Genomic DNA, 13,904 nt, shown 5'->3' with positions numbered 1-13,904 from the left:
GATATAACTAACAAAATGTCATACAAGCAAGATACAACAACCATAAACCTCTAAAATCATCTGAATTAGTAAAATTTTGACCCCAGTACCATAAAATGGGCAAGAATTTAAAAATAACACATAAAATACAGGCCTAATGTATCATAAATGTGGCCAATCTAAATTAATAGAAAGATAGGTATTGTAAACATTGAATTAAAACTTTTGTAGGATAATGTGTAAGGCCTAGTTCTTCAAGAAAAAAAAAGCAAGCTGTCACAGTAAGTTGAAGTGAAGCATCCTCTATTCCTCAATAAATTTCAGGGCAGTAAATTTGTCATATAAAAGCCAATAGTTTCTTGAAACGCCAGACCTTGGGGAAGAGTGCTTAGGACGAAATACCAACAGACCTTAAATTTAAATTTTCAACATTTCCACCAATCTTCATATATGATTAGCTGACACCTGTGCACACACACGCGTACATCCACACACACACCATGCCCTCCCTCCTGCATGAGTTCATAGTTACTACAATTCCTTCAGCATGTGAACTCAGGGATGTAAGAAACAAGACCAAGAAAACTGCTTTTCATGGTTCCTTTATACCGATGGTTCTTAACTAAGCATGATTTGCATGACATTTGGCAATGTGTGGAGACATTTTTGGTTGTCACTAATTGGGAGGAAATTACTGGCATCTAGTGTATATAGGCCAGTAATGCTGCCAAACATCCTACAATGCACACAGGACAGCCCCCACAACAAAGAATTATCTGGGCCCCAAAGTGCCAAAGTTGAGAGACTTTTTTTTTTTTTTTTTGAGACAGGGTCTCACTCTGCCACCCAGGCTGGAGTGCAGTGGCGCAATCACGGCTCACTGTAGCCTTGACCTCCCGGGCTCAGTTGACCCTCCTACTTCAGCCTCCCCAGTAACTGGGACTACAGGTGTGTGCCACCACACCCAACTAAAAATTTTTTTTTAATTTTAATCACTATACAATTGTTCTTGTAGCAGCTCTCACATAGAAGATTTTAAAATAATGTCATTGACTTTGAACTGTACTCAAAGTTCAGAAGAGTATTTCCAAAACAGCAAGTACAATGTCTTAATAATCTAGACTTTGATACAACTTTTGGTGGCTTGTACTGTTTCTTTGCTTATTTTGTAATGTTTTGCTTTGTTTGTTGTTTATCTTCTTAGTTCTTCTGAACTTATCCCACCCCCGAAGCAGTATCAGGAAAGTCACTCATGGCTACTTTGGGATAAGCATTCAGAAAGAATGGAAAGTTATGCCTGTCAGCCATGGCGAAGGGAAGGGAAATGAAGATGGGAGGGGGTACAAAGGTTTCAATTAATAAAGCCCAGATTTATTTTTAGTACCTATTATCAGAACCTCCTCCTTCTCTGAGTTCTATTTCTTTCCTGAAAACACAATCCATTGCCAGGATGGTCTTTACTACTAACAAACCAATCAAAAATTTCTTTGTAAAGTCATTTTGACTTTTCCTGGGGCCTACCATCATTTCTATATGTAAAAGGAAATCATTAAATACATGCCAAATTAGTGTATATATTTTGGATTTGTTGTGTGCCATGGGCTATGCTGGGTGCTGGTCATAGAGAGGTATAGTAAGTGTGCTTCCTGCTTTCCATAAAGGGGAACATGGGGTTACCATTATTATTAGCACTTATCAATGGATGCAAGTGCAGAGGAACCAAATAGAGCAAAGGCTGACCGGATCTTCCAAAGTCACCAAAATAACACTGTCAGAGCGGTCACTGGAATCCTTGATCAGTACTAGACACATAGGCAGGCATTCTTACTTCTCATTACTTCCCTTCTAACTGCCATTATGTCCCCTCTCTGTTTGCACTGCAGCACACTTTGTAAGCATGGATCAACTTTCAAGCTTATGTCATTATAAAAATGTTCCATATTTTTACAGGCAGGCCTTGCAATATCTCTTGACCCAGCACATGATAAGTTAACTATTTCCTGTAGATAGCAAGTACCAACCTAAGTTTATAATTCTTGCTACCCTCCATTAAAAGTTAATCTTCTCAGACTGGGCATTTTGCCATCTTTCTTCTATTTTGACCTAACATCTGTCATACCTGGTCTTAGTCTTCCGTCTCCAGCTTGATGTGCATTTCTGGTTAAGCCTGCCATTGCTTCCTGTCTCCAACTCTTCCTCTATTCCATGGATCCTTCAGAGAATCCTTCTTTGTGTGCTGGTAGGTCTTAGGAAAGCACTTTCCATGTTGAAAACCAAGAAGGAAAAAAAAAAGGAAAGAAACCAAATCCTACATCTAGGTCAAGGCAAGAGCAGCTGGATTGGATTGCAGTCTTCCAACTCTGGATGTTCTCCCTGTTGCCACCAGCTTCCAACAAGGAAAATGAAAAGTGAATTAGCCTGTTGAACCCCAAGTCAAGAAGTCAGCAGGTAATGTGAGCACTTTCCTGGAAGATGCCCTTGGGTGAGGCCCTGTCTAACCAAGTTGCTGTTTTTAGACTCAGACATGTTGGCTCTAAAAGCCGCCACTCAGTAAGGAATTTCGTACAGATGAATTCACTCTTCTGCAAACCTTCCTGATAAAGCCACGAGATGAGTCCAAACTACCTCATAACCTTGGAGCCGGTCTGTCTGGAAGGGGCCAGAATAATCAGACAAGTGGAGTAGTTGAAATCTCTCATGAAATATCTGGAAACAGGTAATAATGAGAAAACAGAATTCCAGATGAAGTTACACAGAATGAAAAGCCAAGCAAAGGCCGTCGTTAGTGAAGGAGAACTCCAATGTCTAAGAATAGCCTCCCCCGTAGTTCTCTCCTCCCTGTGACATCAAAGGAAGGTCTGCAGCCCACACCTCAGTTGTATTCATGTTTCACTGCATCTAGCAACCAATTTTGACTGTCAGAAAATACAACACCTTCAGGAACTAAACATTGGCCCACAGCCCATGAGCAGGAGCCTAGCGAACCCCGGGGTGACATGTAGCCATGCTTCAGAGCAGTAAGTCAAAGAGACAGGTGGAGGCACGCACTGTTTGGACCAGTCGCACTCAGAAACCAAACATCGAGTGTCCAGCAGCGTGGCTCCCAGGTTCTTCCAGGATCACCAAGTGATCTACTGTTTTCCAGACCTTGGCCTGTCCTTGGCAGAGCTCCAGTCCAGGTGACCCGAGAAGGAACTGTTGATTTTGGAAATGGCTGAGACTGTATTTCTGCCACAACAGATTGGGTCTCCACTCTCTTTTACTTAATAAAATTTTATGATTGTGCTTGCAGTATACATGCATTGTAGAAAAAGCACATCACAATAAAGTGGGGAAAAAACCTTAAATGACCACCCAGAGATAGTCTTGGGGGTATTTTAGAGTATTCCATTCTGAAGATTTTCTTCTGCATATGATGTATCTATGTATACTTTTCAAAAATAAAACCATACCATCCATGGTCATTTAAAAAAATTTAAATATACATACAGAAAAGCGCATGTACACATGTAGAACTCAATAAAATCCATATTACTTTGTAAGTTGTTGTATTTTCTTTACTAAGTCATCATGCTTTTCTACAGCTACAGATATTCCAATGTGTTTAATAGCCACATGGTATTAAATTGTAAGAATCTTCCAAAGTTTATTTAACCAATTCCCTGATTCAATATTACTATGAAAAATCTGGTAGCTATATATTCTGCTGTTAACTATTTTTATATTTTTTATATTATATGGTATTACAAATTCCTAGGTTAAGGAAAAGAAGGGCTGTATCAAAGCCTATGCAAATGTTAAAGCTTATGATATATTTGGCCAAATTGCTCTTTGAATTATTTCTAATGTTGCCTTTCTTTCCTCATACTTTTTAAACATTGTGTGTTATTAATTTTAAAAATATTTCCATTTGATAGAATAAAGTGGTATATTATTAAGTTTTAATTTGTATGTCTTTGATTTCTAGTAAACTTCATCTACTTGTGGTCCTTTTTTTTTTTTTTTTTTGAGACAGAGTCTCGCTCTGTGCCCCAGGTTGGAATGCAGTGGCGTGATCTCAGCTCACTGCAAGCTCCACCTCCCAGGTTCACACCATTCTCCTGCCTCAGCTTCCTGAGTAGCTGGGACTACAGGCACCCGCCACCACGCCCAGCTAATTTTTTGTATTTTTTTTTTAGTAGAGATGGGGTTTCACCGTGTTAGCCAGAATGGTCTCGATCTCCTGACCTCGTGATCCGCCTGCCTCAGCCTCCCAAAGTGCCGGGGTTACAGGTTGCGAGCCACCGCACCCGGCCGGTCCATACTTTTAAATGGCTGTCCTGGTGATGCCTTTCCAATTTTTCTGTTAGGTTGAGGTTGGATGTGAGTATTTTTCTTACCAATCTGCATATACATCTTACAAAAAAAAAACTAGATAATTACTTTTAAACATTGTAAGTAATGAAACTGGATCCTTATTTACTAATGTTTAGAATTAAAAGGTGAGTATTGACTCCCCTCATAAGATAAATAAATTAATAAACTTTTCTTGTTACAATATCTCAATTTTGGTGAGGATGATGTCAAACTTATCTTAGATTACAGCTGTATAATGCAGTGTGTCTCAGGCATTGTCAACGGCCTTGCCTCATCTTTATGCAATTCTGAGTTAAAGATCCCTCCAGAATTAACAGAGTGGTTAAGCGAACAGGCTGTGATGTTAAACAAATCTGGATTCAAGGCCTTTCTGTAACTTGCTAACCATGTGATATTAGGCAATATACTTAATCTCAGTTTCAGTTTTTTCAGCTGTGAAATGGGAAGAGTAATAACACCTACTTCATAGGGTCTTTTGTGAGCGTTAGATGAGGCAATGCATATAAAACCAGTAACAGTTAAATGTTAACTACATTTAGGCACTGCTTTACAAGGCTAGCGCCTGACAGAATGATAACTCAGTAAGTGTTGGCTATATTAAACGAGTATTATTATACCTGTTATTTATGGGCCTTGCCTTGCAATTAGAATCAGGAATTCAAAGCCCAGGAAGGTAAAAACTAGATTACACACCACCCCTTATAGAATTATGTTTCAGGGATGTTGATTTCTGTCTGGGAATATGACACATAACACAGTAGTGGGTGAGCTCAGTCAGGACATTGATACTGCATTTCTGAGCTAAGAAAGAGTTTAGAAGTCAGTGAAGTTCATGATTCTGAGGCAGAAACCCAAGTCCCCACTCAATCTTCTCTCTCTCTCTCTCTCTCTCTCACACACACACACACACACACACACACACACACACACACACACACTATCAGAACAAATATTTCTCCTAACAAGTATAACCTACTTCCATCTTCCTACCCTGAACTGAAGCCCCATCCTATTATGGAGACAAAGAAGCACCAGCTAAGCTCATGACTCTTAACAACAGCACCTCCTTGAGTCTCTGGGAGGCCAGCAATGCTTGAAGGAATGCTCCCTCTCTGGGAAGATTTGTTATTTGGTTTGTCAACTCTAAGTTATAGAGCGTTCTTAAAAATTATAATTCCCATCTATTTCCTATGCAGCAATCAATGTGCTTATTCTACTTCTCCTCTCTCCTTTCTCCCAGTTTTTAAAGTTGTATTATTATATAGGCATGGTATCCATGGGATATCGGTTCCAGGACAACACCTCCCATATCAAATTCCAAGGATGTTCGAGTCCTTTATATAAAACGGCTTAGTATTTGCATATAACCTACGCACATCCTCTTGCATATTTTAAATCACCTCTAGACTACTTATAGTACCTAACACAGTGTAAATGCTGTGTAAACAGTCATTATACTCTATTGTTTTTATTTGTATTTTTTTATTGTTGCATTTAAAAAATATTTTCTATCTGTAGTTGTTTTAATCTGAAGATGTGGAACCCACAGATATGGAGGGCCCACATACTTGTCAGGACAATAAAAAATTACACATTATTTTTCTACCGTTGTTCCTACGTTTATTTTAGTTTGGGATCCATAATTAAATATATCCAAGACTCACTATTAGTCCTTTGGCCAATGTTTCCCCAGTTCTCTCTGATTTGGATGAAGCTTTTCTCCTTGAATAGTTCTGTGGAAAGAAAGTTTCAGAGTACAGGATCACCTGAGTTGTGCATGCTCAATTCTGTTGAGGGATAGCATTGGTTCATAAGCTCCTTGGATCAAATCCTTGAGTTTATCAAAAATGTTCTCCACCACGGTCTTTACTGTTGAGAAGTTTGATGCAAAAAAAAAAACAAAAAACAAAAACAAAAAACAGCTCTGGAAATGGATGGTGATGATGGTTGCACAACAGTATGAATGCAGTTAATACCGCTGAATTATACACTTAAAAATGGTTAAAATGATGGCAGGGTGCAGTGGCTCATGCCTGTAATCCCAGCACTTTGGGAGGCCAAGGCGGAAGTGCAAAGATCACTTGAGGCCAAGAGTTTGAGACCAGCGTGGGCAACATAGTGAGGCCCCATCTCTACAAAAAATTTAAAAATTAGCCAGTGTGGTGGCATGTGCCTGGGGTCCCAACTACTTGGGAGGCTGAGACAGGAAGATCATTTGAGCCCAGGAATTTGAGGCTGCAATGAACTATGATCGCACCACTGCAGTCCTCCAGCCTGAGTAACAAAGTGAGATCCTGCCTCTAAAGAAAAAAAAAAAAGAAAAAAAAAATTTAAAATGGTAAATTTTTTGTCATGTGTATTCTACCACAACAATTTTTTTTCAAGGCACCTATTAGATGCCAGGAAATGTTCTAGACCCTGAGTACACAGTAGTGAATGAGAGAGACCGATATTTGGCCACTGTGAAATTTGCCATTCAGAGGGAAATGTAGAAAATAAATGGCGTTATATGAATGAGACACAGTGCAGTGTAGTGATAAAAAACTTGAACTGGGAGGAAATACATTTCTGTTGTTTTAAAACAAAAAACCTACAAATATCATAATTAATATTAGTTATGCTTGCTCTATTTCCTTTTATCATCTCTTTTCATTAATATTTACTTGTTCTGCTTTTTTGTGAGAAAACATAAATTCTTCAGGTTGTAATCAAAAGAGAGAATGTTTTAAGTCAATGAGAAAATCACTCTTAAGATACACATATTGTTCAGAATCGTCTTCTCACAACCAAGGGTTTCTTGCTGCTTGGAAATGGCAGGTAAGTCATTTTTATGAACCAAATGATTCAAGTAAAAAGATTTACTCAATACGAATAGTTTATTTATTTGTTGGAGATATGTATCAAAGTTCTCAAACAACTATGAGTGATTCCATCACAGAAAATGCTCGAAAATTGTTATCCTATTAGAGGTTTCTTCAGAATTGAACATCTCACTCCATGAGTTAACCATGTTATAGAGATTTTACTTGAAAGTAATGAAACTATTTACCACACTAAAAATGCCATCCGCCACTTGTTTTCAGGCAAACTTGGCTCATATGATAAAACTAGAATGTTTTAGACATCTTGTACTAAATCTGGATATTGGTGTTATCAAAGTAGAAAGTGAAAGAATAGGAAGTTAACTATGTGTTTTGAAAAAGGGATTGTTTTACACACACATATATACATATACATATATGTGTGTATACTTACTTCCCTAAACCTAAATCTCCATCCTCTACCTGAAGGCAATAATATATGTCTTCAGCTTCTAAATATTTTTATTGCAACAAAATATACTTAACATGTATCATCTCAACCATTTTAAGTGGCATCAAGTACATTCACATTGCTGTGCAAACATCATCACCATCCATCTCCAGAAGATTTTCATATTCTCACAATGAAACTCTGTCCCTGTTAAACACCAACTCCCCATTCCTCATTCCTTCCACCCTGCAACCCCTGGAAACGGCCATTCTACTTTCTGTCACTATGAATTTGACTATTCTATTATGTGACAATAATTTTTAAAATTATAACCTAATTATTCTAATATTTAATACAGTTAATGAAGCAAATTACGTCCCTTAAACTATCAGATGAACCCCACATTGGTATATATACAAAGACCTCATGGTGTAAAATCCAAGCCTTGGCCTGGTGGAGACCTGCCTCCATGAGGCAAACACAAAGCCCCTTTATTTGCCCTATTTAGATGAATCCTAAACAGCCTCCCTGGCGTCCTGGGCCCTGCCATATACTCGGTATGTTTCTGATGGTGCAAACTCAGTCGTAAAAACATCTACAGTACTTGCTTTAAAAGTACTCGCTGCTACTTAACTGTAAACAAACTTGTAATTTGGCTGTAAAAACTCATGAGTTGCTGAAAGGGGCTATAATAAAGTCGTAATGATTGCTGGCGAGAACCCTGCCAGAGAGGCTGAGGGTGGTTGGCCGGCTAGGAAGGATGGTATGCGTGATGTAAGCTGCGCCAAGCTTGGGCAGCGGCCATCCAGTACTGCCTTCCAAGAGGTTCATCTTTCTTGTGGTCCTCAATTCCCAAATATATCAAGTGCTGTTGGGTTCATGGCTACTGAGCAGAAGACACAAGGTCAGTTGTCAATCTCAGCCCTACTGGGGATACAGAGGCACCCTTCAAGCCTCTCAGGGCCTTTGAACAATAGCAATCTTTCTTTTTGGTAGGAGGATGTAAGGTAACATTTGGAAATGAAGGCTGGAGAGAATGACAGTTTCCTGCTGCAAACAGGTCCCATTGAAAGCCCAGGGTGCCACCCCTTGCCTTGCGTGTGATGAAAGAACTCGTCTTTCTGCAGGGATTGCTAGAGGGGGGTTTATCTAAGTAAAATGAAGCTTTTGTTGTTGTTGTTCATTCTGAGGTACTGGGAGAATATAACCAAAAGGCAGGCCTTTCAGAGCCAGAAGTGACTTGGCACCAGTAGACCTGTGTGGGGACTTCCAACGACGGCCAAGGAAGTTCTCATATTGGACTTCTGGCTCAACAGACTGGTGTCCTAGCAAAGGCTATGGTCTTACTGAGCCACTGCCCTTCTCTTCTTCTCCCCTGGCCCTCTTCTCCCCCTTTCTGAACTCTGTCCCCATTTACTTTCCATAATTCTCTGTCTAGGCGCTGATGTAAGTGGGGATCCTTGCACTGAGAGCTGTCCCTCAAGTGATACCTGTTCTGCCTGGAGCCCATTTAGAGCTCCCTCTCACCTCCGTCCAGCTGCACAGCCCTTCAGAGGTGGATAGTTTGGCTAGATAGTAACTTGATTACCTGCAAGTGGTGACACGCGCCTATAGTCCCAGCTACTTGGGAGGCTGAGGCAGAAGAATCACTTGAACCCGGGAGGCGGAGGTTGCAGTGAGCCGAGATCGCACCACTGCATTTCAGCCTGGGGACAGAGCAAGACTCCGTCTCAAAAAAAAAAAAAGAAAAGAAAAGAAAAGAAATGAAAGAAAGTAATTTGATTTGGAGTCAGGAGATCTGAACTTGGGGAAATAATTTATCTTTCAAAGCTTGGACCCTCCTCTGTAACAGGAGAGGATTAAATTCATTGCCTATGGTGTTTTCTAGTTTTAACAATTTTGGTTTTTTCAGCTACAGGGTATCTCTTGGAGCCTCTGTTTCTCTGCCTTTTCAGAAAGACGAGGCCAGAGCAGAACTGGATGCAGGAATACTTTTCTTCAGTCAAGGTCCTGGCTTAGACTTACAGAGACAGAGAGAGACATACAAATCCTGAAAATCATGTTGAAAATATGATTTCATTTATATTAAGATTTTAACATTATTAAATGATTCCAAAAGAAATACAAGGAGATGGCTTTATAGATAGGCTGCTCTCATTAATTCTTTGTGGTTTTGGTTTTTTTTTCTCTTTTTTTTTTTTTTGAGATGGAGTCTCACTCTGTCACCCAGGCTGGAGTGCAGTGGCGGGATCTCAGCTCACTGCAACCTCTGCCTCCTGGGTCCAAGTGATTCTCCTGCCTCAGCCTCCTAAGTAGCTGGGATTACAGGTGCATGCCACCAAGCCCGGTTAATTTTTTTGTATTTTCAGTAGAGATGGGGTTTCACCATATTAGCCAGGATGGTCTCAGTCTCCGGACCTCGTGATCCACCTGCCTCAAGCCTCCTAAAGTGCTGGGATTACAGGTGTGAGCCACCACACCCGGCTGGTTTTGATTTTTTTAATTGAAAAATATATTAAACATAAACATATTCTGGCCACATAATGTATGCTTGTTTTTTTGTTTGTGTAGTCACAAGTTTTTCTGTGATGCCTGGATTTGCAGGGAAACCAGCCTGAACACTCATTTCACGGTGTCTGTTACTTGGAAGGAAAACACAGTTTCTTATTTCTTTGCAGAACCACTTGGGTGAATGTAGGCTGTTAAAGTTGAAGGTGAGCTCACGTGCTCGAATTCTGAGCCCATGTGAGGATGTCAGTAACTTCCAGTGGGGCATGAAAACGATACTGTGTTTTAACCCAAGCTCTCTTTGCCTCTCCATTCCCACTTGCCTGGATTTGGCTGGATGTGCACCGCAAGGCTCCTTATTTCTGGCACTACTGTACAAAATGACCAGTGAATCCCTCTTATGTCATGACTCTGATTCTGAGTTCCTGGAATCTTAAAATATATCCAACACCTCTTTTCATGTTTAGCATTTCTGCACTATTTTAAAACTTTTTAAGACCGTAATTCAATTTATCCCCCATGAGAAACCAAATGTATTTGGCACTTCCCTTCATCCTTTGTGCTTACTTCTCAATTCTATTTCTGATTTGTTGCCTGGCATCCTTTGCTTTGGGATCTATGTGCCAAGAAAGCCACAAGGTTAACGTGGACCTGAACAGTGCTCTGTGATCCTCTGTTGGAAATCGCCAGAAATCAAGGCAGTTTGGTAACATCATTCCGTGAGGCCTGAGCTTGCAGAACGCCTTGGGGATGACCTTCTTATTGGATGCACACCAACTGCACTGTCTAGTATACTAAGGTGATGGTTGCTATATAGTGTGTGTTGTGAAGACTCATAAGATTAAAGGTTATTCTCGTGAGATAGATAGGGCCAGGCTCCCGGGAAATTCCCCATAAGTTGAAACAAACAGTAAGGACACATTTGCCTGGCCAAGGAAGTGATCAAAGGATCTTCGTGAGAAAACAGGAGATTTAGGACCAGCCAAGAGAGTCATTGTTTTCTTCGCTGCTAGCCTGGGTCACTTCCTCATTAGTTATGTCCCCAGATATTGGTCACCAAGATCCCTGGGCCACTTTCCCAATCCTTTGTAACCAAGTTCTGCTGAGAGTCCATGTAAGAGCTGTAAGTCAACTGAAATATCTTCTCTACAATGGACTTAAGCTTCTCAAAGCCAAATATAGTATGAATCACAAGATGAAAACCTAAAACAATCAGCTAACAGTTGGGAAACACTACCTCACTCCCCACCACCTACAATATACACACACATACACATCCATCCAAACATTTCTTTCTTTTAAGCTCTAAGTGTCAAATCCCTGGACTGACAATTACATATATTTTCCCTCATTTATCTTATATTTTGAATTGCACGTGCTTTTGAAAACCACCTAAAATCCTTTGGGGAAAAATAACGCATAGGTTAATCACTTTGTAAATGAAAAATAAATGATGTGCCATTCTTCTTCCAAGGTTTTCCCTTTCACTGCAGCCCAGCAGTCCTTACTCTGTCCTAAGTTCCTTTAGCTTCCTTGCGGAAATGCAGCTTCTAGGCTGCCTCGTGGTTTTTGCAGAGCACAGACAGCATCCTGGAAGTATGACGTGCTCTTCACTGGCAAGGACCTTCAGAGTTCCTCAGCCCCTCTCTCACTAGCTATTGACACTCCCCAGCCCAGGCTTGGGCACAGACGATGCGTTTGACAAACAAGTACTATTGTTTGGGCCAGCCAGATCTGTGGAATGAACTTTGGAACTCAAAGGGGACTAAAGATAGTTTTCTTTCACATCTGCTATGCTCCCAAGATAGTTTAAGAGTTGTTGAATGACTATGTGTTTTATGGGCACAATCTCACTTAATCCGCACAACTAGTTCATCCTGTAGACAAGGAAACAAAGGCATAAAGAGGCTTAGTCACCTGTCCAACATGAAGAAACATTGCCGGGAAGTCAGGCAATCAACTTCACAATTCAAAATCTTGGTCATGCAGGAGGAGCCAGAGGGAAAGAAATAGCTGGGCGGTTAGAAATGTGGCTTCAGCAAGACCACGGCGTTTGCTCTGGGCATTGAATGACAAGATGATTTGAAATACGCAGAGAAGCTGGAGGCTGCTTAAGGAAAAGTATGAGCCAAGTTTCCAAATCTGGAAAGCACAGCCGGTCATCGGCTCTTCCCAGAGCCTGGCCAATGCTTCGCTGAGAAGGCCTCGCAGCAGCCCCCGAGGATGAAGGAGGTGGGGGTCCTTGTGCTACTACTGTGACCTCTAGAAGAGAGAGGGCCAGGGCCCACCCACTACCCCCCAGCCCACCGCAGCCAGATCCTGCGAAACTCCAGGCCTGGGCTGCCTTCATCTTTATAATGAAGCTTAATTTATACTCTGGAGCAGAGTGCTGTGTAATGACATACATGGCCATACGCTCGGGAAGGAGTGGCAGGTTAAAGACTCAATTTCCTGGCCTCTCCAGCTTTGCGTCACCCTGCTTAATGATATTTCAACATTGAAAGGTTTGAAGTTTTTTTTCCTCTTTAAATTAAATATACAGTAGGTGTTTTGTGTTTAATTTCCTTAAGAAAAAACTGTGTTGTGGGGGTGATATGGTAAAAACAGCAAAAAAAAAAGTAGGAAAGAGTCCTGGAAGTTTATAAAAACCATATTGTATGCTCAAGAGACGGGAGTTACCTTCTTGGAGCCTTTTTGTTCTCCCGGGAATACTCATAATGCCGTCTTATGAGTTTTGTTTGTTGTTGTATTTTTCGTTGTGCTCTTGCTTTCTGTCTCAGCGTGTGCGTTGCCTCTTGAGTCGCGTGTCTTTTTATATGCTTCACAGAGGTAAATGGCTGACACCATAGCCTGGAGCAAAGAGGCTTTGGCGCAGCCTGCGTTCCATCACGTAATTGCATTCACAGGGCGTATTTATAGCCACCGAGGTGCCAAAATGGGAGGCGGAGGGGTAAATAAAGGGCCTTGCCTTAAGGAAGGTTGCTCACTGAGTCAGATACGCAGAGAACCTCTGCCAGTCAGGGTTGGTGAGGAGGGAGGGAAGGAGGGCGGGCGGCCAGAGATGCCAGTCTGTTCTCAGAAAGGTCAAGAGCTGTGCACAGCACAAGTTAAGGGAGCAAAGCGAGAGGAAGAGCAGCAGGGCACTCTCTCACTCCTTCCCTCCTATCAGAGGTTCTCCCACTGGGACCCTCAGAGCTCTGGGGGGTTCTACAAGAGTGGCTTGGAGGCCACAGTTGGGGAAGAAGGAATAACAATGCCTAAGAGCCGGACGTGGCTGTAGACCCCCCTCCCCAGCCCCAAGGAGAGCCACTGCCCTTTCACTTAAATGTGGCAGTTCCAAGTGACATTTTGTTTGAGGAACAGCTTCTTCATGTACCTAGGAAGTTTTGACTGTCCCTGATCTAGGAACTATTCACTTTGATCACATGAATCACCTAATGGCCCCCAAAAGCCTCACCGAGTATTGTTCTCTGCCACCTCCACCCCATTTTGTGTCCAGAATTGGTAGGCTTTCGGTCTCGCTGACTTCCAGAATGAAGCCGCGTACCCTCGTGGTAAGTGTTCATTTTTTTTTTTTAGACGGAGTCTCGCGGCGCGATCTCTGCTCACTGCAAGGTCCGCCTCCACGGTTCACGCCATTCTCCTACCTCAGCTTCCCCCGTAGCTAGGACTACAAGCGCCCACCACCTCGCCCAAAATAATTTTTTGTATTTTTAGTAGATCTGGGGTTTCACTGTGTTAGCGAGGATGGTCTCGATCTCCTGACCTCGTGATCCACCCCCCCCCCCCCCCCCGACCTCCCGGAGTGC

General features: G+C 41.6%; 1 protein-coding gene and 1 long non-coding RNA gene across 4 annotated transcripts in view; one reads left to right on the top strand and one right to left on the bottom strand.

The window, feature by feature from the left end:
• Positions 1–13,904, bottom strand: part of SUGCT (succinyl-CoA:glutarate-CoA transferase) — a 903,812-nt gene that overhangs the window by 126,447 nt on the left and 763,461 nt on the right. The window lies entirely within an intron of this gene.
• Positions 12,064–13,904, top strand: part of LOC105375242 (uncharacterized) — a 41,876-nt gene continuing 40,035 nt past the window's right edge. The window contains exon 1 of one of the 2 annotated variants that reach the window (XR_927191.3): positions 12,064–12,327. This is a non-coding gene — a long non-coding RNA (uncharacterized LOC105375242). Of the gene's footprint in view, positions 12,600–13,904 lie in introns of both variants that reach the window. The other variant, XR_001745181.2, reaches the window with a different exon arrangement.

Source organism: Homo sapiens, chromosome 7, assembly GCF_000001405.40.
Source record: "Homo sapiens chromosome 7, GRCh38.p14 Primary Assembly".
Classification (NCBI taxonomy): domain Eukaryota; kingdom Metazoa; phylum Chordata; class Mammalia; order Primates; family Hominidae; genus Homo; species Homo sapiens.
This window is presented reverse-complemented; position numbering and strand designations above follow the sequence as displayed.